Source organism: Homo sapiens, chromosome X (genome assembly GCF_000001405.40).
Source record: "Homo sapiens chromosome X, GRCh38.p14 Primary Assembly".
NCBI lineage: Eukaryota > Metazoa > Chordata > Mammalia > Primates > Hominidae > Homo > Homo sapiens.
In genome coordinates, this window is record NC_000023.11 from 43255322 (window position 1) to 43281738 (window position 26417).

At 38.6% G+C, this 26417-nt stretch overlaps 1 pseudogene; it reads right to left on the minus strand.

The window, feature by feature from the left end:
• Positions 22055-24467, minus strand: IMPDH1P4 (inosine monophosphate dehydrogenase 1 pseudogene 4; annotated as a pseudogene).

A 26417-nucleotide genomic window follows, 5' to 3' on the forward strand; every position in this document is an offset into this window, starting at 1 on the left:
GCCTGCGAAGCACTGTTTTCATATAAGACTTCACTGGGATCAGGAGAGACATTTTCTTTACCCACATTCATCCCTCATCTTGTTTAAACACAAAATAACATCAAATGGCTGAGTTTAAAACATCCCATTTTGCTCTAAAACACGAAACAAAATCTGTTTATTCTTGGCTTCTCAGGCAAAGTGAGCTTTCTGTATTTCCTGACTTCATATTAGTCGGAAGTGCTACTCCCATTTATCTACCATCTTAAGGATATGCAAAAGAAATGGGCAGCCCTGGTAACCTGAAAGAAGGGGCAACAGAGGACATCTTTCATTCTTAATCTTGGTAAACAGGATCTTCTAGAACTGCATGGTGCAATTACGGTGCAAGAAGACTATTTCTGCTTCTTGACTAAACTTTGGTTTCCTAGCACCTTCCCTGGCCCCTTCTCTTTCATTGGCCTCCAATCTGATCATATTCTTGACTGAGCTCAGCAGGTGGCAGCTTACTAATGGTGCCTATGTGCCCACACTCCTCCCCTCCTGCTTCAACACACACATGCCACACAAAGGGTCATGCTCACACATCAGTAAAAAAATGCCCTCATCCCTTTTCTCTGCTAAATTTAGTAAATGGGGCTTTGACTCCCCTGCTAGAACCAGTTGGTAAACTCCAATTTTTCACCCTCAACTGCCCTCCCCACAGTCATGAGTTGTGACACTCACTTTCACAGAATTGCTTGTCTTTTAATTACATATATGTCAAAAATAAATGTAATAACAGAATTACAGTCTATTAGAGAAATAATCTTGTATGACCACTATAATGTACCTCAATTTCCTAGCAGAGTCCTTGTCATATAGAAGGTACACAATAATTATTGCTTGTATGAATGAACCCATGAGTTTTATAACTGAAGCAACTGAGGTTCACTGATATATCAAGTTTCTTACTCTGGCAAGTTAGTGTAGAACCTGTATTTTAAACTCACAGAAACATTTGTAGTGTTCAGTGAAGGGTCACAAATCATTGAGAGAGAAATATAAAACATTTTTGTTTTTTCAATTACTGTTTCCAACGGTGCTCTAAATCTCTTCTTTCTTAGTGAGGAGTTTAATAATATCTTAATTTTATGCCTTTCCAGCCGCTTTCAGTTATCCATTCAAGTTTCCATTATTCAACCCTGTTCATTTTACAAAGTCAATGCCATATTCAGTCCAAAGCTTTTTTCTTCTCCAGAGGAAAAGATAAATTTGTGTCACTATCAGCTTGCATGAAGGGGATTCTAAGGGTCTGAGAGTGAAGGTGAAGCACCAGATCCACTCTTATAACCACCTTCCACTTCATCTTCTTTGCAATAGCTTGTACATAGAAGAGTGAGGAAAGCCTAATGTGCCATTACATAATGGTCCATGGTGGGGTTGATTTCCTTTCCTTGCTTAGTTCTAATTGCCACTGTGACTTCTTGGCTTCGGATTCTGTGGGCAGGTGGTAGCTCTCATAAGCCACACTGATGAAGACTCTCCTTATGCTGCTGCCCTAGGCATTGGTCAGCTGCTTCCCCCCACATTCTGCTAAAGTTTGTGACTCTGCCACATGCAGTGACAGACCCCAAAAATGTTATAGTCTTTAATTTCTTCAGTGGCTCCAAAATCTAGGGCCTTTGAAAAGAAGAAGAAGAAATGACTCTGATCACAAACACAACAATCTTCCTAAAGAAGACTCTTTCTTTAGGACTTCTTATTTGAGTTTATTGGGGAGAAGAATGGCCATTTCTGCCCAATAGTACATCTCAGCAAGCCATAGAGGGAGGTGGCAACCTCTAACATCAAGTCAGGATAGTTTTCTGTTAGGTGCCTTGAATACACACACATGAACATATATATATACACACACACACATACACATACACATAATGCAAATGTATCATGCATAGATATGTTATGGTATATGTGTATATATGTATATATTCACACATTCATCTTATATATACACACACGTGTGTGTGTGCACGTCTACATATGTATTCAGTGAGTTGGGATGAGGAACGGAGAACCATCAACTGGGTTGTGTGTATAATGTAGATTCATGGATCCCCTTTCTCCTGTTTTTCCTATTTATTTAGTGTGGCTTAATTTTCTTTAAGTAAGAAGGTTCTGATATTAAGCTTAATCAAAAGAAATTGTCAAATGGAATCTTTTTAATAAGGAAAGAATTTGAGAGTATTAAAAGAGGAAGACAAAGTGAAAAACTCTATATATAGAAACAAAAGATGACGAATTGTAACAATGAAGGAAAATAAACATAGATAGACCCGAGTGGGATGAATGGTATGAATGAGCTAATAGTGAGAGGGGCTGGATATACTAGGACTTTATGCTTATAAACCTTCTGTACTAGATCCTAGAACCTATGAAAGACAGAGGAAAATTAGTATTTAAATTCAATATTATTCCTATCTCACCATAATGGCAAAAATTAAGAACTGTAATAAAACAACAGAAGGTGGATGATGTAGATCAAAGAGAGCTCTTATATATTGCTAGCATGAATATAAATTGGTACAACTTCTTTTGAAAATAACTGAGTATAATCTGACAAACCTGAGCACGTGCACATCTTACAGTTTAGCAATCTTACACCTAAGTATGTATAACTAAGAGAAATTCTCACACATATGTTCTAGAATATATGCCACATTTTTTTAGATTCAGAGGGTACATGTGCAGGTTTGTTACATGGATATATTGCATAATGTTGAGATTTGGGGTACAACTGATCATGCCACCCAAGTAGTAAACAGAGTACCCAACAGATAGTTTTTAAACCCGTGCCCTCATCCCTCCCTGCTTTTGGAGTCCTTAGTGTCTATTGTTTCCATCTTTATTCCATGTATACCCAACATTCAACTACTACTTATAAGTGAGAATATGTGGTATTTGAATTTCTGTTTCTGCATTAATTTGGTTAGAATAATAGCCTCCAACTGCACCCAGATAGCTGCAAAAGACATTTCATTCTTTTCATGGCTGCATAGTATTCCATGGTGTATATATACCACAGTTTTTAGCCATTGCACTTTTGATGGGCACATAGGTTGATTCCATGTCTTTGCTATTGTGAATAGTACTGTGATGGATATGCGAGTGCACGTTCCTTTTTGGTAGAACAATTTGTTTTCCTTTCAGTGGATACCCAGTAATGGCATTGCTAGGTCAAATGGTAGTTCTCTTTCAAGTTCATTGAGAAATCTCCAAACTGCTTTATGCAGTGGCTGGACTAATTTACACTCCCACTAGCAGTGTATGAAAGTTCCCTTTTCTCCACAAGCTCGCCAACATCTGTTGGTTTTTGACTTTTTAATGCTAGCCATTCTGATGAGTGTGAGACCATATCTCATTGTTGTTTTGATTTGTATTTCTCTAATAATTAGTGATGTTGAGCATTTTTTTCATATGTTTGTTGGCCACTTGTATGTCTTCCTTTGGTAAGTCTCTGTTCATATCCTTTGCTCAATTTTTAATGTTTTTCTGTTTCATTTCTTGTTGATTTGTCTAAATTCCTTATAGATTCTGGATATTCATCCTTCATTGCATGCATAGTTTGCAAATATTTTCTCCCAATCTGTAGGTTGTTTGTTTACTCTGTTGATAGTTTATTTTGCTGCACAGAAGCTCTTTCATTTAATTTAATTAGGTTCCAATTGTCAATTTTTGTTTTTGTTGCATTTGCTTTTGGGATCTTCATCATAAGTTCTTTGCCTAGGCCAATGTCCAGAAGAGTATTTCCTAGCTTTTCTTACAGGATTTTTATACTTTGAGGTCTTATATTTCAGTCTTTAATCCTCTTGAGTTAACTTTTGCATATGGTGAAACTTGGTAAGGATCCAGTTTCATTCTTCTGCATATGGTTAGCCAGTTTTCCCAGCACTATTTATTGAATAATTTGATGCCTCTGGCTTTTTTTTTTTTTTTTTTTTTTTGGCTTTGGCTTTGGCTTTGGCTTTGGCTACTCGGGCACATTTTTTGGTCCATATGAATATTAGGAGAGTTTTTTTTTTCTAATTCTGTGACAAATGACATTGGTAATTTGATAAGAATTGCATTGAATCTACAGATTGCTTTTGGCAGCATAGGCATTTTAATGATATAAATTCTTCTAATCCACAGGCATAGAATTTCAATTTTTTTGTGTCATCTATGATTTTTTTCAACAATATTTTGGAGTTCTCCTTATAGAGTTATTTCACCTCCATGGTTAAAGGCATTCCTAGGTATTCTATTTTTGTATGTGTGTGCCTATTGTAAATGGGATTTATAACTTTTTGAGTTATAAAAAATCATTTATAACTTTTTGAGTAAATTGTAGGTGTGTATATTTATGGGGTACATGAGATGTTTTGATACAGACATGCAATGTGTAATCATCACATTATGGAAAATGTGGTATCCATCCCCCCAGCATTTATCTTGTATGTTACAAACAATCCAATTATATTTTTTAGTTATTTTGAAATGTACAATTAAGGTATTATTGACTATAGTCACCCTTTTGTGCTAGCAAATACTAGGTCTCATTCATCCTTTCTAACTAATTTTTTTGTATGCATTAACCATTCCCACTTCACCCCCCTACTCCACAACTACGCATCCCAGCCTCTGGTAACCATCCTTCTACTCTCTGTATCCATGAGTTCAATTGTTTTGATTTTTAGATCCCACAAATAAGTGAGAACATGCACAGTTTATCTTTCTGTGCCTGGCTTATTTCACTTATACTGACCTCCAGTTCCCTCCATGTTGTTGCAACTGACAGGATCTCATTCTTTTGTATGGCTGAATATTACTCCATTGTGTATAATTAGCATGTTTTCTTTATCCACTCAACTGTTGATGAACACTTAGGTTACCTCCAAATCTTGGCTATTGTGAACAGTGCTGCAACAAACATGGGAGTGCAGATATCTCTTTGATGTTCTGATTTCCTTTCTATTGGGTATATACCCAGAAGTGGGATTACTGAATCATATGGTACGTCTATTTTTAGTTTTCTGAGGACCCTCCAAACTGTTATCCATAGTGGTTGTGCTAATTTACCTTCCCACTAACAGGGTGCAAGGGATCCCATTTCTCCACATTCTCACCAGCATTTGTAATTTCCTGTCTTTTGGATATAAGCCATTTTAACTGGAGTGAGATGATATCTCATTGTAGTTTTGATTTGCATTCCTCTGATCAGTGATGTCAAGCACCTTTTCATATGCTTGTTTGCCATTTGTATGTCTTAGAAATGTCGAGTCAAATCATTTGCCCGTTTTTTTGATTGGATCATTAGATTTTTCCAAGAGTTGTTTGAGTTCCTTATATATTCTGGTTATTAATTCCTTGTGAGATAGGTAGTTTGCAAATATTTTCTCCCATTTTGTGGGTTGTCTCTTCACTTTATTGATGTTGCCTTTGCTGTGCAGAAGCTTTTTAACTTGATGCGATCCCATTTGTCCATTTGTGCTTGTTTTGCCTGTGCTTGTGGGGTATTGCTCAAGATATCTTTGCACAGACTAATGTCCTAGAGATTTTCCTCAATATTTTCTCTTAATAGTTTCATATTTTGAAGTCTTAGATTTAAGTTTTAAGCTATTTTGATTTGATTTTCATTTATGGTGAAAGATAGGGGTATAGTTTCATTCTTTTGCATATGTATATCCAGTTTTCCCAGCACCATTTATTGAAGAGACTTTATTTTAAACAGTGTATGTTCTTGGCAGTTTTGTTGAAAATGAGTTCCCTGTTGGTGTGTGGATTTGTTTCTGGGTTCTTTATGCTATTTCATTGGTCTATGTGTCTGTATTTGAAGTTAGGTAATGTGATTCCTCCAGTTTTGTTTCCTCCCCGCCCCTCCCCCGCCAGGATAGCTTTGGCTATTCTGGGTCTTTTGTGGTTTTGTATAAATTTTAGGATTTTTTTTTCCTTTTTTAACTTTTATTTTAAGTTTGGGGGTACAAGTGCAGGTTTGTTACACAAGTAAACTTCTGCCATGGGGATTTGTTGTACAGATTATTTATCATCCAGCTATTAAGACTAGTATCCATTAGTTATTTGATCTGATCCTCTCCCTCCTCCCACCCTCCACCCTCCCAAAGTTCCCAGTGTGTGTTATTTTCCTCTATGTGTACATGTTTTCTCATCATTTAGCTCCCACTTATAAGTGAGAACAGGAAGTACTTGGTTTATGTTCCTGTGTTAGTTGGCTAAGGATAATGGCCTCCAGCTCCATCCATGTCCCTGCAGATAACATGATCTCATTCTTTTTGTGGCTGCATAGTATTCTATGGTGGATATGTACCACATTTTCTTTATCCAGTATATCACTGATGGGCATTTAAGTTGATTCCATGTCTTTGCTATTGTGAATAGTGTTATAATGAACATACTCATGCATGTGTCTTTATAATAGAATGATTTTTATTCCTTGGGGTATACACCCAGTAATGGGATTGCTGGGTCAAATGATATTTCTAGTTTTGGGTCTTTGAGGAATTGCCCCCTGTCTTCCACAATGCCTGAACTAATATACATTCCCACCAACAGTGTATAAGAGTTCTTTTTTCTCCACAACCTTACTAGTATCTGTTATTTTTTGATATTTTAATAATAGCCATTCTGACTGGTGTGAGATGACATCTCATTGTGGTTTTGATTTGCATTTCGGTAATGATCAGTGATGTTTTATCTATTTCTGTAAAGAATGTCATTGGTGTTTTCATAGCTATTGTACTAAGTCTGTGGGTTGCTTTTGATAGTATGGACATTTTAACAATGTTGATTCTTTCAATCCATGAACATGGCATATCTTTTCATTTTTTGGTGTCCTCTTCAATTTATTTCATCAGTGTTTTGTAGTTTTCATTATAAATATTTTTCACTTCTTTGGTTAAGTTAATTCTTAAGTATTTAATTGTATTTGTGGTTACTGTAAATGGGATTACTTTTGAAATTTCAGATTGTTCACTGTTGGCATATGGGAATGCTAGTGATTTTGTATCCTGCAAAATACTGAATTTGTTTATTTGTTCTAATAATTGTTTGGTGAAGTTTTTAGGTTTTTCCAAATATAAGATTATATCATCTGCAAACAGGATAATTTGACTTCTTCCATTCCATTTTGGATTCCCTTTATTTTCTTTCGCTTGTCTGATTGCTCTAGCTAGGACTTCTTGTACTATGTTGAATAATAGTGGTCAAAGTAGGTATCCTCCCCATATTTCAGAGCTTAGAAAAAAGACTCAATTTTTCCCCATTCAGTATGATACTAGCTCTGGATTTGTCATATGTGGCTTTTATTATGTTGACATATGTTCCTTCTATACACAGTTTTTATAGGGGTTTTGTTGTTAAGGGATATTGAATTTTATCAAATGCTTTTTCAGCATCAATTAAAATGATCATATGGATTCTATCCTTCTTTCTGTTGATATGATGTATCACATTGATTAACTTGTGTATGTTGAGCCATTCTTGCATACAAGAGATATATCCCACTTGGTCATAATGAATGATCTTTTTAGTATATTGTTGAATTAAGTTTGCTAGTATTTTGCTGTAGATTTTTGCATCAGTATTCATCAGAGATACTGCTCTGTAGTTATCTTTTTTTTATGTGTCTTTGTCTGGTTTTGGTATCAGGACAATACTGGCCTTGTAGAATGAGTTTGGAAGTATTCCCTCCTCCTCTATTTTTCAGAATAGTTTGAGTAGAATTGGTATTAGTTATTCTTCAAATGTTTGCTAAACTTCAACAGTGATGCCATCAGGTTCCTGGCTTTTCTTTACTAGGAGAGCTTTTATTATAGCTTCACTCTTGTTACTTGTTATTGATCTGTTCAAGTTTTGTATTTCTTCCTGGTTCAATCTTGGAAGATTGTATATGCCTAGAAATTTGTCCATTTCTTCTAGATTTTCCAAATTATTGGCATATAGATGTTCATAGTAGCCACTAATGATCCTTTGAATTTCTTTAGTATCAATTATAATGTCTCCTTTTTGATCTCTGGTTTTATTTATTTGTGTCTTCTCTCTTTTTTCTTAGTCTGGCTAAAGTTTTGTCAATTTTGTTTAACTTTCCAAAAAGTTAACTCTGTTTTATTGATCTTTCTTATTTTTTTCTTCATTACAATTTCATTCATTTCTGCTCTGATCTTTTTTTTTTTTCATTTGCTAATTTGGGGTTTTGTTTGCTTTTGCTTTTCTGGTTCTTTAGGATGCATCATTAGTTTATTTTTTTGAAGTTGTCCTTCTTTTGTGATGTAGACATTTATAGCTATAAACTTTCTTCTTACTACTGCTTTTGCTGTATCCCATAGGTCTTGGTATGTTTTGTTTCCATTGTTATTTGTTTCAGGAAATTTTTCAATTTTCTTCCTAATTTTTTCATTGATCCATTTGTCATTTAGGAGCATATTGTTTACATTCTATATATTTGTATACTTCCAAAATTCCTCTATTATTGATTTATAGTTTTATTCTATTGTAGTCAGAGAGGATGCTTGATATTATTTCAATTATTTTGAATGTTTTAAGACTTGTTTTGTGAGCTAACATATGGTCTAACCTTGAGAATGATCCATGTGCTGTGGAAAATAATGTGTATTCTGTAGTCATTGGATGAAATGTTCTGTAAATATCTATTAGATTCTTTTGGTCTGTAGTGCAGATTAATTTTAATATTTATTTGTTGATTTTCTGTCTGGGAGATGTGTCCACCACTGAAAGTGGGGTGTTAAGGTCTCTAGCTCTTGTTGTATTGGGACCCGTCTCTCTGTCTCACTTTAATAATATTGTCTTTATAGGTTGGTGTGCTCCAGTGTTGGATGCACATATATTTAAAATTATTATACTCTCTTGATGAATTAACCCCTTTATCATTATATAGTAACCTTCTTTGTCTCTTATTGTAGTTTTTGTCTTGACTTCTATTTTATCTGATATATGAATAGTGACTCCTGCTCTACTTTGGTTTCCATTGGCATGTCATATCTATTTCCCATCCCTTTAGTCTATGCGTGGCTTTGTGAGCGAAGTGTGTTTCTCGCAGGCAACAGATTAATGGGTCTTGTTTATTCATCCATTCAGCTACTCTATGTGTTTTGATGGGAGAGTTTAGTTTATTTACATTCAATGTTATTATTGATAAGTAAGGACTTCTGCCATTTTTTTATTTGTTTTCTAGTTGTTCTGTTGTCTTCTCTTCCTTCTTTCTTTCCTTCCTGTTTAACTTTAGTGAAGGTGATTTTCTCCAGTGATATGATTTAGTTTCTTGTTTTTTATTTTTTGTGTACCTATTGTAAGATTTTTGGTTTGAGGTTACCAGGAGGCTTGCAAATGCTATGTTATAATTCATTATTTCAACTATATAACAACACTGTTTGCATGAACAAACAAACAAGCAAAAAGAAAACAAATAAAAATTCTATGGCTTAACTTCATCTCCCTGCTTTTTAAATTTGTTGTTTCCATTTATACCTTATTGTACTGTTTATGTCTTGGAAAGTTGTTGTAGTTATTATTTTTTATTGGTTTATTGTTCAGTCTTCCTATGTAGGATAAGAGTAATTTACATGCCACAGTCACAGCGTAGTAATATTCTGTGATTTTCTGTGTACTTAGTATTACCAGAGAGTTTTGTACCTTCAGGTGATAACTTATTTCTCATTAACCTTCTTTTATTTCTGATTTATGTACTCTCTTAGCATTTCTTGTAGGACAGGTCTGGTGTTGATGAAACCCCTCAGCTTTTGTTTATCTGGGAAAGTCTTTATTTCTCCTCCATGTTTGAAGGATATTTTTGTCAGATATATAATTCTAGGGTAAAAGTTTTATTCCTTCAGCATTTGAAATGTGTCATGCCACTGTCTCCTGGCCTGTAAGGTTTACACAGAAAAGTCTACTGCCAGATGTTTTGGAGCTCCATTGCATATTATTTGTTTCTTTTCTCTTGCTGCTTTTAGGATCCTTCCTTTATTCTTGACCTTTGGGAGTTTGATTATTAAATGCCTCGAGGTAGTCTTCTTTGAGTGAAATCTGCTTGGTGTTCTACAACTTCCTTATACTTGGATATTGATAAATTTCTCTAGGTTTGTGAAGTTCTCTTATTATTCCTTGAAAAAAACTTTCTACCCCTGTCTTTTTCTTTCTCTTTCTTTCTTTTTTTTTTTTTTTTTCTTGAGTTGGAGTTTCACTCTTGTTGCCCAGACTGGAGTGCAATGGCGCGATCTTGGCTCACCACAACCTCTGCCTCCTGGGTTCAAGTGATTCTCCTGCCTCAGCCTCCCAAATAGCTGGGATTGCAGGCATGCGCCACCATGCTCAGCTAATTTTATATTTTTAGTAGAGACAGGGTTTCTCCATGTTGGTCAGGCTGGTCTCGAACTCCTGACTTCAGGTGATCCACCCGCCTCGGCTTCCCAAAGTGCTGGGATTACAGGCATGAGTCACTGCACCCAGCTCACCCCTGTCTTTCACTATAGCTCTTCTTTAAGGCCAATAACTATTAGATTTGCCCTTTTAATTTGCCTCTGGAAGCTATTTTCTAGATCCTGTAGTCATGCTTCATTGTTTTCTATTCTTTTTGTCTTTTGTCTCCTCTGACTGTGCATTTTCAAATAGCCTGTCTTCAAGCTCACTAATTCTTTATTCTACTTGATCAATTTTGCTATTTAAAAACTCTGATGCATTCTTTAGTATGCCAGTTGCATTTTCCATCTCCAGAATTTCTTCTTGATTCTTTTTAATTATTTTCATCTCCTTGTTAAGTTCATCTGACAGAATTCTGAGTTCCTTCTGTATTATTTTGAGTTTTTTTGAGTTTCCTCAACATAGTTATTTTGAATTCTCTGTCTGAAAGGTCACATATCTCTGTTTCTCCATGATTAGTCCCTGGTTCCTTATTTAGTTCATTTGGTGAGGTTATGTTTTCTGAGATGGTCTTGATACTTGTAGATGTTCTTTGATGTCTGGCCATTGAAGAGTTATGTATCTATTGTAGTACTTACTGTGTAAGCTTGTTTGTACCTGTCCTTCTTGGGAAGGCTTTCCAGATATTTGAGAGGACTTGGGTGTTGTGATCTAAGCTATATCTGCTTTAGGGGGCACCCCAAGCTCAGTAATCCTGTGGTTTTTGCAGACTCATAGTGGTACCACCTTGATAGTATTGGATAAGATGCAGGAGAATTAGCTGGATTACCAAGCAGAGACTCTTGTTCTCTTCCTTTACTTTCTTCCAAACAAATGAAGTCTCTCTCTCTGTTCTGAGCCACTGAAGTTGGAGGTGGAGTGACACAAGCACCCCTGTGCCACTACCTATATGACTGTGCTGGGTTAGACCTGAAAGCAGCACAGTACTGGGTCTCATGCAAGGCCTGCTGTAACCACTCCTTAGCTACTGACTATGTTCACTCAAGGCTCTGGTGCTCTGCAATTTGCAAGTGACAAAGCCAGTCAGGCCACTCTTCAGGTTGGCAAAATTACCCATGTCCCAGGTGGGTCCAGAGGTGCCATGTGAAGCCAGGGACTAGAGTCAAAAACTTTAGAAGTCTACCTGGTGTGCTATTGTACTGTGGCTGAACTGCCACTCAAATCACAAGACAGTTCTTACCACTCTTCTCTCTCTTTCCCAAAGGCAGAGGAGCCTTATCCCATGGCCTGCACCACCACAGGACCAGAAGGAGTACTGCCAGACTACAGGTGATGTTCTCTTATGGCCCAAAGGCTCTTCAGTCAGCTTATGGTAAATGCTAGCTGGCCTGGGACTCACTGTTCAGTGAAGTGGGTTCCCCTCTCACCCAGGGCAGTTCAAGAAATGCTGTCCAAGAGCCAAGTCCTGGAATCGGGGACTTCAAGAGCCTGCTTGGTGCTTTACTCCCCTGTGGCCAAGCAGGGAAGTACCTAAGGTGTAAGACAAAGTCCCCTTTACTTTTCCCTCTGCTTTTCTCAAGTGGAAGAAGTCTTACCCCATAGCCACCACAGTTGGAAATGTTCTCTCACCTGATGCCAACAAGCCTCAGAGTCTTACCCAAGGTCCTTGATGTAGTACCTGGGTATTGCTGCTGGTTTTCGGGGGCCCAAGGGATCTTCATATAGCCTGTGATGAATGCTGCCAGGACTGGATCCATCCCTTCAGAAGGCATTAGGTTCCCTTCTAGCCCATGGTATGTCTAGAAATGTAATCTGAGAGCTAGGGCCTGGAATGGGGGCCTCAGGACTCTGAGTGGGGCCTTATCCTGCTGCGGCTGAGCTGGTATCCAAGATGCAAGACAAAATCCTCCCCACTCTTCCCTTTCCTCTCCTCAAGCAGAAGGAAGGGATCTCTTTTGGAGCCATGAGCTGTGTAGCCTGGAGCACACAGGGAAGGGGTGATGCCAGCACTTTCTTAGCCACCGTAGCTGGTGTCTCAGTATGTCACGAGCCCCCACAGTCCATTGCCTCTGGGCCTAGTTCAGCGCTAAGTCTCACCTAACAGTTGCAGTTATTATGGCCTAGCCTGCCTTTCAAGTTTATTTAGAGCCCCAGAGCACTTCGGCCCTCATTGGTGAGGCTTGTGGGAACTCAAGTTCCAACCACTGATATTAGCAATTCCCCTCTGGCTAGAGCTGATTTAAATGCTCCCTCTGTGAGCAGGTGTCACCTGAGCTTGGTCCGATTTCCCTTTTGGCTATAACTGAGGACAGCACTGAGTTCAGTGCCTCACAATTGCTGTGCTCTCCCTCTCCCATTACACAGAAATGCTTTCCGCACCATGCAGCTGCTGCTGGGGGATAGGGTAGGGGTGGCGTCGGCTATTCAAGACTGTTTTTTCTACCTCTTTAGTGCCTCTTTCAGTGATACAAAGTTAAAAACCAGGTATTGTTGAGTGCTCATCTAAGTTTTGGTTCTTATGAAGGTACTTTTCTGTGCAGATAGCTGTTAAATTGGCGTATTCCAGGGGAATGATCAGTGGAGCCTTTTATTCCACCATCTTGCTCTACAACTTGGGATTTTGTTCTTGATTTTGTTCTCAGCTTGAATATTATTGCTGTATAGAAATGCTACTGATTTTTGTATGTTTCTTTTGTATCCTGAAACTTTACTGAAGTCTTTCATCAGGTCTAGGAGTCTTTTTGCAGAATTTTTAGGGTTTTCTAGTTTATATATACCAAATTCTTTATTGCAGCAATACTTGTAATGGTAAAAACAAAAATCCTAAAACTCAGAACAACCCAAATATTCACTGACAGGAGAATAAATACAATAGACTGTGGTATATTCACAAAAGAACTGTCATAAATCAGTAAAAGTCAATGAGCTAAATCATGGCAGATACTGGGTGGCTATTCACTGAAGCTAGTTCCTCTTCTTCCTGGGCACTCACCTAAACTATGTTTTCCAGCCTCCTTTGTGTTTATGTGTCAGCATATGTCTCAATTTGGATCCTGTGGAAAGCCAACACAAAGATGGAATTAGAAGTACAAGAATGTTATTGAGGATGAACTCTGTGAGCAACAAAGGGAAGAGGGAGCAAAAGTAGGTGGAGAGAGACTTCAGACCAGGATGCTTGTCTAACCTCTGTGAAAGGAGAGGATAACAAAGGAAGGGTGGGTAGGAAAAAGTCAGACTGCAATAAAGCTCTGAGAAAGTTTCATACTCCCAGTGTTGGGTTCCAACACGAAGATTACCCACAGATGAATCCTACATTTGGCAGAAATGTCCAGGCCCTAGTATACTTACTGTTCTCAGCATCGCCTAGAAACTGCCTGAGAAAAGCCTGGCCTCAGCCTGAATGTTGTGAGAGATCCTGAAGGAGCTGCAGTCAGCTCACTGGACCCTTTCTAGCATCTTCTCTCTTGGAGGGTGATCTGAGAAGCCCACCTCCATGGCTGTCACACCATGTGACTGAGCTTACACAAATGAAACAAGAGAAGAAATGATATGTGCCACTTCTAGTACTGACCCATAGCAATATTTTATATGGATCCTCCATGATGTTCCTCTCTCTGCAGCTTAGAGGAAGATAAGTATGGCAACATAGGAAGCCATATGCTGAGGACAGCAGAGAGTAAGATGAAGGAATGCTAAGTTTCTGACTCACCACTTGGATGAGAGCCATCCACTATTAATGCAGTACATTTTAGATCTTATATGGGAAAGAAATGAACTTCTATTGAGTTGTAATATTGAGATTTGAGAGTTTACCTATTATGACTGATAATTATACCCTAAATCATGCTTTTAGCAACTTATTAAATTTCAGATGAATCTTGGAAACCTAATTTTGAGAGGAAAAAAGCAGATCCCAGAATATAAAGTGCAACTGTATAGACTCCAAAACAAATAAATCTGACAATGTATTGCTTGAGTCATATGTTCAGAGCTATGAAATTATTTTAAAAATTAATGATAATGGTTAATTCTGAGGGGAGGCCGGGGGTGAGACTGGGAAGAACATATAGATAGATGGGAAATGTGTATAGTAAGATTAAGCACAACTTAGATAATAATTATTTCATCCTTTTCATTTCTCCTTTGCATGGGCATACTTGTTAAAGGCAGAGGCTTCTTGTTATATAGAGAATCACTGCTATGGTTTCTTCAGGACTATCAAGTGTGCCTATCAAAAATCTCCTATTTATTGGGGGAACAACTGACATTTTGAAATGAAAATTTTTCTCTAGGCCAGGCGCAGTAGCTCACGCCTGTAATCCTAGCACTTTGGGAGGCCGAGGCAGGTAGATCACCTGAGGCCAGGAGTTCCAGACCAGCCTGACCAACATGGCTCAGGATAATTAACATATCAATCGTCTCAATTATCCTGATCTGATAACCCCATCTCTACTAAAAATACAAATAATTAGCCAGGTGTGGTGGTGGGAACCTGTAATTCCAGCTACTCGGGAGGCTGAGGCAGGAGAATTGCTTGAACCTGGGAGGTGGAGGCTGCAGTAAGCGAAGATCGCACCATAGCTCTCCAGCCTAGGCAACAAGAGTGAAATTCTGTCTCAAAAAAAAAAAAAGTTTCTCTAAAACATATCAAGAAATCACCAAACTTGAGACATAAACTGAAAATTCAAAACACTGTTTGTATGCTCAAATATCAGATACAGATTATGAAATTAAATTTCAAAGTGAATTCAGTTAGGAATTGTGTTTGGCTGCAAGTACACATACTCAAAATAGTGGCTTAAACACACAAGGATTTATTCTCTCACATCATTAAAGGAGTCTGAAATTTGAAAGTCCAAAACTGGTAGGAACGTCAACAGTGTCCTTAAGGAACCAGAATATCTTTGTCTGCTCCAACATACTAGTACATGGCTTCCATCCTTAAAAGTCAAGATGGCAGTTGGATCTCTACTATCTAACTTGCATTTCAGGTAGCAGGAAGGACAAAAAGCAACCTTGCAGCATCAGCTTTCTTTAAGCAGTCTCCTCAAAACTTCTACCCAACATTTATGCTCTCATTTCAGCAAGGGGGCTGAGAATAGTGTCTATTCTGCATGGTCATGTGTGCAGCTAAAAATCAGGGTATCGCTAAAGAAAGAAGAGGAGAATGTCTATTGGGAAGCAACCGAAAGTCTCTGCCATTGAGTGGAAATAATTAAAATGTTCCCAGAAATAAAAAGCACCTTGAGTAAAATTGACCATATACAAATCTCATGACCCAGCGCTCTACTACTATTTAAACACCTTAGAGAAATTCTTGCAAATACACACTAGAAAGCATGTACAAGAATGTCTATAATAGCAATGTTCATAATATGAAAAAACTAGAAACAATGAAATGTCATTAATAGTAGAATGGATGAATAAATTGTAGTATACTTCATGTAATAAACTGCTATAGTGAAGTGGAAATCAACCACATATTTCAATATACCACTGTAGGATTACTGCAGTTCACAATAATATATTACATAGTTTCAAATAGCTAGAAGGAGCATATTGAACATTCCCAACATAAAGAAATGATAAATGTTTGAGATGATGGATATGTTAGTTATCCTGATCTGATAAGTAAACATTATATGTATCAAAACATCACTATGTATCCCATGAATATGTACAATTATTATTCATCAATTAAAAAATACAAAATAAATGAAAATAAACCTATTATAAAAGTTCAAAATATACATAATTACCATGACAGAGGCATGTCCCAGTGTAATAAAGTGTTGGTTCCATTGATATAAAGTTCAAAAATTGGCAAAACTGAGTCATGTTTAAGTATATACACATAGGTGGATATATATATATGTAAATGATTAACACAAAAGTCTGTGTTATGAGCTGAATTGTGTCCTGAAAAATTTATGTCAAAGCCCTAGCCCCCAGTACCTTCCAATATGACTGTATTTGGAGATAGGGCCTTTAAAGAGGTAACTTAAGTAAAAATGTGCTCATTAGCGTGGACCCTTCCTAATCCAATACGACTGGTATCCTTATAAGAAGAGATTAGGACACAACATACACAGGGGAAAGATCATGTGAAGATGCACAGACATGAACATGTGAACACACAACAAGAAGACAGCTATCTGTAAGCCAGAAAGAAAAGCTTCCCAAGAAACGAAACCTACTGCCATACCTGGATCTATCTCATATTTTTAGCTTCTAGAACTGTGAGAGAATGAATTTCCATTGTTTAAGCCACCCAATCTGTGATATTTTTATTATGGCAGCCTGAGTACACTAATAAAGTCAGGATTATGGATTTGTCTGGTGGTAAGGGCAGAGGGATGCAATCATGAAAGGCCATAGATAGATTTTCTAAGGCCATCATGATTTTTTACATTTTCATGTGAATTATGGGCATGTAGAAGTTTTCAAATTTTTATTATTTTAACTTCAAATATATTTTATATTTCATCTTGTGTATATGGTATTTTTCACCATTTAAATATGGAGAAAAAGAAAGGAAGAGAAAGATGTGAAGATAGGCATTTAAGTAAATAAAAATAATCATAACTAGAGGCCTGAGAACAGAAATCTGTATTACATAATTAGGACAAAGATATAGTTTCGATTCAGAACCACAGCTTTAAAACTAAACTTAAGAGCTCCAATTACATTAAAACTTGTAATGTATTTTATTCAAGGAAAAAGTTGAGTGTTAAAAGTGTTAATTTAATTTTGTAGTGTGAAAACTAATTATCCTTCATTAGCAGTATATTATACCTACTGTTACTACTATCTCCTTGAGTAAGAATTATTATCATAGAAAGATAAATTTAGAATAGGTAGAGTCTTTAGAGATCATCTACATATGTGTATAGTACAGGAAGGCTAGCCCAAAAACAAACTATTATTTTAGTCAAACTAGTCTCTGTTCATGATTTTAGTCAAACTAGTCTCTGTTCATGACCACATTATTATGATTATTGTCCTAGATAACATAACCTAATGGAAGGCAGACTAAAACAGGAATCAGAAGGATGTGTTCTGATTCTTATTTTACTTAAACTCTCTGAGATGTAATTCCTTCATCTGTACACATAGGTAACAGTATGCCTGTCTGCCTGCCTGATGGTTCAATGTGAACCTCATAATAAGTGAGAGGTGGAAGGCAAGTTAAGCATTATATAATTCAACTTATTCCTTTTAAAAATAAGTTTTATTTTGTTTTTAATTGACACATAATTGTACATATTTATGGGGTACAGTGTAATTTGTTTCTTTGTTTTGAGACAATGTCTTGCTTTGTCACCCAGGCTGGAGTGCTTTGGCACAATCATGGTTCACTGCTGCCTCAAACTCCTGTGCTCAAGCATTCCTCTTGCCTCAGCCTCCCAAGTAGCTAGGACTACAAATGTGCACCAACACACCCAGCCAACTTTTTTTTTTTTTTTTTTTTTTTTGTAGAGATGGGGTTTTGCTATGTTGCCCAGGCTGGTCTTGAACTCATGGCCTCAAGCAATCCTCCTGCTTCAGCTCTCAAAATACTGCGATTACAGGTGTGAGCCACCACACAGGGCCCACTGTGATGTTTTGCTACATATATACACTGTGTAATGATTCAATCAGGGTATATCCATCACCTCAAACATTTGTCATTTGTGATGATAACATTTGAAAACCTCTCTTCTATTTTGAAGTACACATTATTGTCGACTATAATCATTCTCCTGTGCAATGGAACACTAGAACTTATTCCTCTTATCTGACTACTACTGTGCATATCAACCAACCTCTCCCCATTCCTTCTCTCCCGCCTACTCTACCCAGCCTCTGGTAAGCAGTATTTTACTCTCTACTTCTATGAGATCAACATTTTTAGATTACACTTATGAGTGTGATCATGCGATATTTGTCCTACTATGCTTAGTTTATTTCACTTAATATAATGTCCTCCACATTCACCCATGTTGTTGCAAATAACAGGATTTTGCCTCTTTTTTTTGGCCTAATAGTATTCCATTGTGACTATATACCAGCCCTTTATATCCATTCATTTATTGATAGACACATAGTGGGATTGTTGGATCATATGGTAGATCTATTTTTAATTTGGGGGAAACTTCCATATTGTTTTCCATAATGGCTGTACTAATTTACATTCCCATCAACAGTGTATTACTTCCCCTTTCTCCACATCGTTGCTGGCATTTTTTTTTTTAATAGTAGCCATTCTAACAGATGTGAAGTGATATCTCATTGTGGTTTTGATTTGCATTTCCCTGATGATTAGTGATGTTGAGTGTTTTTTTCATATACCTGTTGACAATTTGTATATCTTCTTTTGATAAATGTTTACTTAGATCTTTTGACCATTTTTAAATCAGACCATTGAGTCGAGTTCCTTACATATTCTGGATATTAACCCCCCTTTTTTTTTTTTGCTATTGAATCGAGTTCCTTACATATTCTGGATATTAACCCCTTGTTAGATGCATAGTATACAAATATTTTCTCCCATTATATAGGTTGTCTCTTCACTCTGTTGACTGTTGCCTTTGCTGGGCAGAATATTTTATGTTTGATGTAATCCTATTTGTCTGTTTTTGCTTTTATTGCCTATGATTTTGAGGTGTTATTAAAAAACATCCTTGCCCAGAACAATGTAATAAAGTATTTCTCCTATGTTTTCTAGTAATTTCATAGTTTGGGGTGTTACATTAAAGTTTTTAATTTATTTTGAGTTTATTTTTGTCAGTGATGAGAGATAAGGATCTAGTTTTATTCTTCTGCATGTAGATATTTAGTTTTCCCAGCACCACTTATTGAAGGGACTGTCTTTTCTCCAATGTGTGCTCTTAGCAAGACATTTTTCACAGAAATAGAAAAACAATCCTAAAATTTGTATGCAACCATAAAAGACATTGAATAGCCAAGGCAATCATGAACAAAAAAAGTTGGAGGTATCATACTACCTGACTTTAAAACATACTACAAAGCAACAGTAACCAAAACAGCATGGTACTGGCTTAAAAACAGACACATAGACCAATGGAACAGAAATGATAACCTAGATATAAACTCATGTACTTACAGCCAACTGATTTCTTTTAAACCTGATGAAACTGAAATTTAGAGAGTGACCAAGATAATCATTGGGATATTGTTGGGTCTAGAATTCAAGTTCCTTTAGCTAATCTCCCCAAAATTAGAATAATAAAAAGGAAATGGAAAGTTGGAGTGAAAAAGAAAAAAACTGAGCACAGTCCAGGCATTTATTTTATAAGCAGAATAATAGGAATTATGGAAAGATAGTAGAGAGAAAATGGAGGGGAGGAAATCATGAATGAAATAATTCAACAAAATTGATCAGAACAGAAGGAAACAAGTTTTCATTTTGAAAGAACCCACCAAGCGCCCAGCACAATAGGTGAAAATATGCCTACGTATGGATTCCAGAAATGAGGGGAAAGTCATTTGACACTGAAGAACCATGAGTCAACGAGGTTTCAGGTGTTTCATTAGCAAGACTTAAAGCTAGAATAAAATGGATTAATATTTTCAAAGTACTGAAGGAGAAATATTTCCAACCTGGAATCCCATACTCATACAAACCATCAATGAAATTTGAAGGTAGAATAAATACATAAATGAAGGTAAGCTAGAAAGAAAAGCTAACTAATAATAGCGGTTATCTCTAGCGATGGGAAAGAAGATGCAATTAACCTAGGAAGAACAAAGAAGGAACTTATTAAGTTGTGGTAATGGTGTATTTCTTTAGTTGAGTGGTGAGTGCATGTCTCTTCATTTTATTCTTTAATAAAGAATAAATAAACACCAAAAGGGCAAATTGAAAAATGATTATCAATGAAGGGCTTGCAAGGCAGTGGGGTTAATGGGGCTGGAATAGGAATGAGATTTCTCATGAATACATTTTTACATAAACCTAAGCCAAATTAATATATTATCAATTTTTAAAAAAATAAAAATTAGAAAAAGGTATCCTAAGGATTAGGAGAAGATGTGAACAATTAATTAAAGTCCCATTGTCATAAAAACATAAAATATCTAAAGTTAAGAATTTAAATAAGCATTTCATAGAAGGAGAACTCTGAAAGGTCAATTAACATATGAAAAAATAACCACCCTCACTAGTAATCAGGGAAATACTAATTTAAATAATAAGATATGGTTTTATATCTATCATTAGTTTGACATTACCTAGTTTGGACTAGGATGCAGAAAAATGAAGACTCTCATATGCTGGTGGCGGAATGCAAATTGATACAATTTGGCAATAACTAGAAGACTGACAATATGCATAGCCTTTAACCTAAATATTATTTTGGGGCTATATCTTAGAGAAACACATTAGCACAAGGAGACATATAAAATATTTATGTCAGGATTTATTTTTATAGTGAAAAATTGAAAACAACATAAATGCTCATCAACTAAGGAATTGATGAATAATTTATAGTATATTTATACCATGGAATATAAAACATCAATACAATCAGTGAACTTGGGCTAATCCATATGCATCAACCTGAAAAAAACTTATAATAACTAGAGAGAAAAAAGCAATTTGCAAAAGGATATGTGCAATCATTAATAAACAATATAAAATTATCTACACATTTTAATTTTTTAAAATTTTCTATTATTTTACATTCAGTGGATACATGTGCAGGTTTGTTACATAGGTATATTGTGTAATAATCGAGATTGGGTTTCTAGTGTACTCATTACCCAAGTAGTGAACATTGTACCCAATGGGTAATTTTTGAACTCTCACCCTTTTTCCAACATTTCTAATTTTGGAGTCCCCTGTGTCTATGATTTCCATCTTTATGTCCATGTGTACCCATTGTTTAGTTCCCATTTATAAGTGAAAACATGTGATATTTGATAATTTGTTTCTGAGTTATGTCAATTAGGATAATGGTCTCCAGCTCCACCCATGTTGCTACAAATAACATAATTTCATTCTTTTCTATGACTGCTTAATATTTCATGGTGTATATATACCCACATTTTTTTTTATCCAATTCACTGTTGATGGAAACTTAGGTTGATTACATGACTTTTCTACTGTGAATAGTGCTGTGATAAAGATATGAGTGCAGGCTGGGCGTGGTGGCTCTTGCCTGTAATCCCAGCACTTTGGGAGGCTGAGGTGGGCAGATCAATTGAGGTCAGGAGTTCGAGACCAGCCTGGCCAACATGGTGAAACTTCATCTCTACTAAAAATACAAAAACTTAGCCGAGCATGGTGGCACATGCCTGTAGTCCCAGCTACTCAGGAGGCTGAGGCAGGAGAATTGCTTGAACCTGGGAGGAGGAGGTTGCAGTGAGCCAAGATCACACCACTGCACTCCAGCCCGGATGACAGAGTGAGACTCTGTCTCAAAAAACAAAAAAAAAAAAAGACATGAGTGCAGATATCTTTTTGAAAAAAATATTTATTTTCCATTCAGTGTATACCCAGTAGTGGGATTGCTGGGTTGAATGGTAGTTCTATTTTCAGTTCTCCGAGAAAACTCCATACTGTTTTGTGTACAAGTTGAACTAATTTATATTCCCACCAACAGTGTATAAGCATTCCCCTTTCTCCACATCCATGCTGACATCTGTTCTTTTTTTTTTTTTTTGGAGGCATTGAGACCTGCTTGATTTCTTCCATTAATACACAATGACGCAACTATGATCCCAAAGTGTGCAAAGTTAAAGTCTTCAACTGCAGCTGAGGAGAGGGTAGGAATGGTACACCTGGGGACAGTGGTGAGTCAGGAACGACGGGCAGGCAGCCATGACCAGGGCAGCCTCCTCCCCAAGGCCAGGGACAGGGGAGTGGCCTGAGGAGCAGGACCCAAGGGTAGCCCAGGGCCGGAGAAGGGGGCAGAGACCTCCCCTTGGCCTAGGTCAGGAGTTCAGAAGTGCCACGTGGCTGAGGGGGAAGGGGCTTGGGAAGGGCCAGAGGCAGGACCAGGACAGCACAATTTCCTGGGGGGCTGGGGACAAAGAGGTGCCCTACAGGAGAAGCCAGGATGGGACGTCTGCCCCTGGGGTGGGGGCTGGGCTGGAGCAGGCTGCAGCAAGAAAGACCTGAGGCAGGCTCAGGGCCTGAGAGTCCGGCTGACTGGGGCGGGCGGCGGAGGGGCGGGGAAGGAGGGGGCTCCCAGGGCAGCCTGGCCCAGGGAGCAGTAATGACTCTGCAGGGGATGCCCAGTGAGGGACCCCAGACCCCTCAGGACCTCCCCTCCTGTCTCCCTGGAAAGGAGCTGGGGAACCCGTAGTGCAAATCTGCGGACCACTCAGTTATGGAGGGAGGCTGTGCCCGAAGGTGGACACTGGGGTGTGCCCCCTCAACCACCTCGGCCTCCACCACTGTCCTCAGTACAGCCACTTCTCCTAAGAGTGCAGGCCATGGACACCACGCTTGATCTGAGCCAACATGGTCCGCTTCTCAAACTTGAGCTCTCCTGAGTACATCATGGACCCAAAGACAGACAGGCTGTGGACCCCGATATCCTGGTAGCCATGCTGGATGCCCGCTATGAGGTAGGGCACAAACTTCTGAATGGACCCTTTGTCCTGGATGGAGCCCGAGATACCCTGTGTGATCTTCACCTTATCCCCCTCGCTGAAGTATCATTTCTGGGTGCTGCTGCTCTTCTCCATGGCATCCAGCGAGCCCATGCCCCGGTACTTCCTGAGCCACACCCTGTCTGAGAAGAAGTACTCGCCAGAGGCCTCCGTGGTAGCGGCCAGCAAGGAGCCCGTCATCACTGTGGAGGCTCCAAGGGCCAGCACTGTGGAGGCTCCAAGGGCCAGGGCCTTGACCATGTACCCCACGGTCTGGATGCTGCCATCGGCTATGACGGGCACACCAAAGCGCCAGACATACTCGGCCACCTTGTACACAGCAGTGCCGTGGGTCTGACCACAGGCCATCACTTCCCCGGTGATGCAGATGGAGCCGCAGCCCATGCCCACGCTGGGCTGCTGTCACCACGTTCCCCGCAATCACCTGGAGGTGGAGGTACTTCTGTTTGATGTAATGCACCGTGGCGATCTGATACACCGAGTTCCCTTGGGACGAGTCCAAGACTATGACATCGACGCCCGCCTGAGTGAGCAGGTCCAGGCAGAATTTGTCATCTTCACGGGTGCCCACAACTGCCCCGCACAGCAGCTGCTTGTGGAAATCCTTGGAGGCCAGAGGTAGTCTCGGTTCTTCTTCAGGTCGGTGCGGGTGATGATGGCCACCAGCTCATTGTGATCATTGACGATAGGCAGCTTCCCTTTCTTGCTACGCTGCAGGATCTCATTTGCTCTTTCAATGTCACGCCTGCTGGAGCCACCACCAGCTCGGTCCTTGGCGTCATCATCTCACTGAGGAGGATGGTGTCCTTCTCAGCAAGAAAGTCGATGTCTCGGGAGGCGATGATACCCACCAGCTTGCTGCCGATGGTGCCCGTCTCAGTGATGGGGATGCCAGAGAAGCCATGCCGCATCTTGGCCTCCAGTACATCACCCACGGTGTGCGAGGGGCTCAGCACCACGGGGTCCGTGATGAAGCCCTGTTCAAACTTCTTGACCTTCTGCACCTTATTGGCCTGAAACTCTGGGGTGCAGTTGTGGTGAATGAAACTAATACCTCCTATCAGAGCCCTCCCATCAGAGCCATCACGATGGCCATGTCGGCATCTGTCACAGTGCCCATGGAGGAGGAGGTCAGCGGAGTCTTCAGCGTGATCTTCCGGGTCAGGGCTGAGGTCAGGTCCACCTCATCAGTTATGAAGCCTATGAATCCTGGGAGAATCAGGAAGTCGTTGTAGGTGAGGCCATCGGCGCTGGCGAAGAGCTGCTGCGCGGTGAGGCCGGCCTCGGACACGTAGCGGGTGCTGCCGCTGATCAGGTAGTCCGCCATGCTGCCGCAAGACCCCGACATAAACACCCGCGCGGCCGCCAGCCGCTGCAGCCGCCGCCGCCGCCACTGCTGCTGCTGCTGAGGCCGCGCGGCGGACACGCTGCAGCCTCGGGCCGGGCGGGCCGGGGGCGGGGGCTGTTCTTTTTTGACTTGTTTTTTTTTCTTTCCAACTTTTATTTCAGGTTCAAGGAGTACATGTGCAAGTTTTCAAGTTTTTTACCTGGGTAAGTTGCATGTTGTGGGGATTTGGTGTAAAGATAATTTTGTCACCCAGGTAATCAGCATAATACCCAATAGGTTGTTTTTAAATCCTTACCCTCCTCCCACGCTTCACCCTCAGATAGGCACCAGTGTGTATTGTTCCCTTCTTTGTGTCCATGCATAGTCAACATATTGCTCCTATGTATAAGTGAGAACATATGACAGTTGGTTTTCTGTTCCTCCATTAATTCACGTAGGATTATGGCCTCCAGTTCCATCCATGTTGCTGCAAAGGCCATGAACTCATTTTTTATAGCTGCGTAGTATTTCATGGTATATATGTACCACATTTTCTGAATCCAGTTTACTATTGATGGACATCTAGGTTGATTCCATGTCTCTGCTATTATGAATAGTGCTACAATGAATATATGTGTGCATGTATCTTTATGGTAGAATAATTTATATTCCTTTGGGTATATACCCAGTAATGGAATTGTTGGGTCCAGTGGTAGTTCTATTTTAAGTTCTTTGAGAAATCTCCAGACTTACCACAATGGCTGAACTAATTTATTTTCCCAGCAGTAGTGTATGTGTTTCCTTTACTTTGCAAACATGCCAGCATTTGTTATTTTTTGACATTTTAATAATAGATATTCTGACTTGTGTGAGATGGTATCTCATTGTGGTTTTGATTTCCAATCCCACAATAATTAGTGATGTTGACTATTTTTACATATGCTTGTTGGTCGTGTGTATGTCTTCTTTTGAGAAGTGTCTGCTCATATCCTTTGCCCATTTTGTAATGGGGTTATTTTTTGCTTGTTGATTTGTTTGGGTTCCTTATAGATTCAGGATATTAAACCTTTGTTGCATGCATAGTTTGCAAATATTTTATCACATTCTGTAGGTTGTCTGTTTACTCTTAATTTTTTTTTTTTGGCTGTGCAGAAGCTGTTTAGTTATAACCCACTTTTCAATTTTTGTTTATTTGTTTTTCAATTGCTTTTGGAGTCTTCATCATTAAGTTTTTACCTGGGCCAATATACAGAATGGTATTTCCTAGATTTTCTTCTAGGGTCTTTATAGTTTTACATTTTATGTTTAAGTCTTTAATCCATTTTGAGTTGGTTTTTGTATACAGTGAAATGTAGGGGTCCAGCTTCAATCTTCTGCATATGGCTAGCCAGTTATCTCACCACCATTTATTGAATAGAGAGCCTATTCCCCATTGCTTGTTTTTGTCACCTTTGTCAAAGATCAGATGGCTGTAGGTGTGCAGCCTTATTTCTGGAACCTGTTCCATTGGTCTATGTGTTTGTTTTTATACCAGTACCATGCTATTTTAGTTACTGTAGACTTGTAGTATGATTTGAAGTTGAGTAGTGTGATACCTCCAGCTTTGTTCTTTTTGCTTAAGATTGCTTTGACTATTCAGGCTCTCTTTTAGTTCCATATGGATTTGAGAATCCTTTTGTTCCAATTCTGTGAAAAAGGTTGTTGGTTGTTTGATAGGTATAGCATTGAATCTGTGAATTACTTTGGATCATATAGCCATTTTAACAAGATTGATTCTTCCTATCCATGAGCATGGAATGTTTTTCCATTTGTTTCTGTCATCTCTGATTTCTTGTAGCAGTTTTTTGTAATTCTCATTATAGAGATCTCTCACTTCCCTGGTTGTCTGTATTCCTAGGTATTTTATTCGTTTTGTAGCTACCATGAATGGGATTGCAACTTTTACTTGGCTCTCAGCTTGGATGTTATTGGCATATAGAAATGCTACTGATTATTATATGTTGATTTTGCACACTGACACTTTGCTGCAGGTGTTTATCATATTTAGAAAACTTTGGGCAGAGACTATGAGGTTTTCTAG